Source organism: Homo sapiens, chromosome 10 (genome assembly GCF_000001405.40).
Source record: "Homo sapiens chromosome 10, GRCh38.p14 Primary Assembly".
In the NCBI taxonomy this organism is placed as follows: domain Eukaryota; kingdom Metazoa; phylum Chordata; class Mammalia; order Primates; family Hominidae; genus Homo; species Homo sapiens.
Genome location: NC_000010.11, coordinates 121,711,685 through 121,715,706, shown reverse-complemented (window position 1 = coordinate 121,715,706; position 4,022 = coordinate 121,711,685). Strand labels below are relative to the sequence as shown.

The 4,022-nt window shown below is 42.6% G+C and overlaps 1 pseudogene; it reads right to left on the bottom strand.

Annotated features, from left to right (window-relative positions):
• RPS15AP5 (ribosomal protein S15a pseudogene 5) lies at nt 1,670–2,130 on the bottom strand (annotated as a pseudogene).

Sequence of the window (4,022 nt, the reverse complement as noted above, 5' to 3'; positions counted from 1 at the left end):
CGTGATCTTGGCTCAGTGCAAGCTCCGCCTCCTGGGTTCAAGCGATTTTCCCACCTCAGCCTCCCAAAAGCTGAGACCACAGGGATGCACCCCCGCACCTAACTAATTTTTGTATTTTTTGTTAGAGAGGGGGTTTCACCATGTTGGCCAGGCTGGTTTTGAACTCCTGACCTCAAATGATCCTCCTGCCTCGGCCTCCCAAAGTGCTGGGATTATAGGCATGAACCACTGCATATTCTAACCACCATTATTCTAATTTTATAGCAATCCCCTCCATGACTTCCTATACTATAGTATTCCCCTTATTGCTTCCTTTGACCCATAACGTCCCCCTCCATACTTTGTTTTTCTTATGATTTATCTGAGTTGTCTGACAGTCAGTAGAGTTTCCCCCAGGCAGAATTTTTGCTAATCACACATGCATGATGCAATTCAACAAGTCCTCCTGTGCTCTGTGGATCCAGGGGCTTGATCAGACTCGGGTTTGATCCCTTTGGCAGACTGCAGGAGACGTGTAATGTCTTGTTTCTGTTTTGGGGATGTTAGCAGCTTCTAATACTCTATACCTGGGTCCACTAATTCCCTTGGGGAGGGGTTGCAAAATGGTGATATTCTAATTCTATCATGTGTTAGCTAGAATTATATAAGAAAATGCTTCTTCTCGCCTACTGTTACCCTGTTGTAAAGTTCACACAGGAAATGAAGGATAAATGTTAGCTCCTTTCCCTTTATTTACCAGTTTTCATGAGACTGAATTCTTTATTCTCTGAAGGTGACCAATTAGGTATACACACACACGTATATGTCTATATATTAATATATATATAATCATGAATCCATAGATTTAACGTGTTAATGAATTTTAATCCATTACAATCATTATCCTCATTAAAGCACATAGTGTCTCATCTTTGACCACTGGGAGGTTAGTGAGCATTTCTTGATAATAAATCATTCATTCATTTGCTCATTCACTTAACTTCTAGTCATGCATACATGTATTAAAGGCAAGACTGCATGATAGAACCAGTTAATGTAGAGGATAAAAACAAAGTATGGTCTCTGTCCACAAAAAGCTCACTTTCTATAACGAGAAATGACATATATACAGATTGCAACTGGAAGTTGTTATCATAGAAGATGTAGAAATAAAGACATGTAGTAATTTGGAGGTAAGGCTGCTATGATAAGTTAAAGAATCATCAAGTATCTAGGCCTCTTCTTTGCTCTGCCATCCTTGGCATGGGGATTCCATTTCTGATCTAAGACAACTGCTCCACCTCCTGCCGTGATGTCTAAATCTGTCCAGCAAGAAAGGGGAAGAGGAAAGGGATGTGTCGGTCTCCTTCTCTTTGAGGACTACACTGGGAAGTTGCACACGTCACTTCTGCTCACCTGCCACTAGCCAGAACTTAGTCTCTCAGCTGGAGCTTAGTGTCTTGGCCACACCTAGCTGCAAGGGAGGCTGAGATACATAGTCTTTCATGGGGGACCACTGCCTTTTCACTCAGCTGTGTGAAAACTGTGTAGACCACCAGTTCTCAAACTTTAATGTGCATATATAAATCACCTGGAATCTGGTAAAGTGAAGATTTGGATTCTGTGGGCCTGGGTGAATAGGTGGCTGAGGATGTTGAAATCTTGCAGTTCTTTTTTTTTTTTTTCCTTTGTCCATGAGGCATTTTATTTGTAAATATGTATTACAGCTCTAGGAAAAGAATCCCAGGATTTTCCCTCCTGTGTGTTTTGTCTTGCTTCTTTGTGATCCATGATCCCAGCTGAGATTATTAGTACAATGAAACCAAACTGGCGGGATGGAAGCAGGCTATTCTGCCATTTTTCTAGATCTCTGGGTTGCACATCAAATCTGAGGCTGATCACTCCACACTTGTTTAGCCTGCCTGTGAGGTTCATAACAATTTTCCCAGCTCTGTGATCATCAATGATTTCAAATTCGCCAATGTAACCATGCTTCATCATCACAGTGAGAAAACAGATGGTGACTTTGGAGCACAGCCTAATAAGAGCCTGGTGTTTGCCTCTCTTTTTGGCAGTGTTGATGCTCTTGAGAACATCAGCCAGGACATTCTTGCGCACCATTGTGGTGGCGCAGAAAGATGATGGAAAGAGGACAGGAGGGAAGGGCGCACAGAGTTATGGGTGAAATCTTGCAGTTCTAACAGGCTTCTGGGTGAAGCCGATGCTGTTGGTTCTTGGGCCATACTTAAGGAGACACTTGAAGAGTGTTGACAGCCTCATGGGAAGGTCCGTCTGCTTAGGGTGGCCCAGCCTTGAAGGCTGAGTGCTTGTTAACCTGTTCTCGTTGCTTATGCAGCTATCTGGGCAAAAGCCTTTGAAGAGCATTGCATCTTCGTATTAGATACAAAGATTGGCCTGGTGCGACGGCTCATGCCTGTAATCCTAGCAGTTTAAGAGGCCGAGGCGGGCAGATCATTTGAGGTCAAGAGTTTGAGATCAGCGTGGCTAACATGGTGAAACTCCATCTCTACTAAAAATTAAAAAAAAAAAAAATTAGCCGGGTGTGGTGGCACACGCCTGTAGTCCCAGCTACTCAGGAGGCTGAGGCAGGAGAATCACTTAAACCCGGGAGGCGGGGGTTGCAGTGAGCTGAGATTGCACCATTGCACTCCAGCCTGGGCAACAAGAGCTAAACTCCATCTCAAAAAAAAAACAAACAAAAACAAAGAAAAGATAATGGTCAGTGTACAAAGTGTAACTAGGAGGCTGTTTGCCTAAATTAATTTGTATATTAGCTTTTGTTCAAAATTTGGAGATTTCCTTGGGAAATAGTATTACTAACATAGTAATAATACTAATGAATTATTTTCTAAAGTCAAAAATAAATCACATTAACACACATTTCTTGGCACTATAAATATTTAGATTTGTGGTCTTCATCCAATTTTCTTCAAACACTTTCAAAAGTGTGAAAAATTATATTTTTTGCCAGTATAAATAGCATTTTTATTTCCTAGAGAAATCTAACTACTCCAAGGCCCTTGAAGTAGGCTATCTTTTACATTTTGTTAATAAAAATAGAAGCAAGGCTCCAGGAGAAACATGGACTCCTCGGCCTGGGGCAGCCACCCTTGCTGTGTTATCTTGCCTTCACCTCCATGTCTGAGCGCAGACTGAACTGTGAGCTCCAGGATGGCAGAACTGTATCCCATAGTCGAGAACAATCCTGGTCACTAGGGTTGGAGTTTGGAGGTTGGATTTCTTGATTTGTTTTGTACCTAGCAATTGGCCTGTTCTGCTTAGCCTGGCAACACCTGGAAAAGGGGCTTTGACCTCCCTCTGGCAAGGCATAAAGAGGGCTTTGTCAGAATAGCATAGGAGGGGTCAGGCGCTGTAACCCCAGCACTTTGGGAGGCCAAGATGAGTGGATCACTTGAGGCCAGGACTTTGAGATCAGCCTGGCCAACATGGCAAAACCCTGTCTCTACTAAAAATACAAAAAAAAAAAAAAAAATTAGCTGGGCGTGGTGGCGTGCACCTGTAATTCCAGCTATTCAGGAGGCTGAGGCATGAGAATCATTTGAACTGGGAGGCAGAGGTTGCAGTGAGCCAAGATTGCGGCACTGCTCTCCAGCCTGGGTAACAGAGCGAGACTCTGTCTCAAAAAAAAAAAAAAATAGCACAGGATTGTCGGGAAGATTATCAGAGGCAAGGTCAGTGAACCGTCAGGTGCTATGCAAACATAGAGCACTACTCTTGTGTAATAATAATGATAACTATTATTATTAGTTTCTGGGTATTGCCATGTGTCAGAAAACAAACGCTTTACATAATTCTCTCTTTTAATTCTCTTAAAAGTTGTATGACATAGGTGCTATTTTCATCTCTTTTTTTTTTTTTTTTTTTTTTTTTTTTTGAGATGGAGTTTCACTCTTGTTGCCCAGGCTGGAGTGCAATGGCACAATCTTGGCTCACTGCAACCTCCGCCTCCTGGGTTCAAGCGATTCTCCTGCCTCAGCCTCCCGAATATCTGGGATTACAGG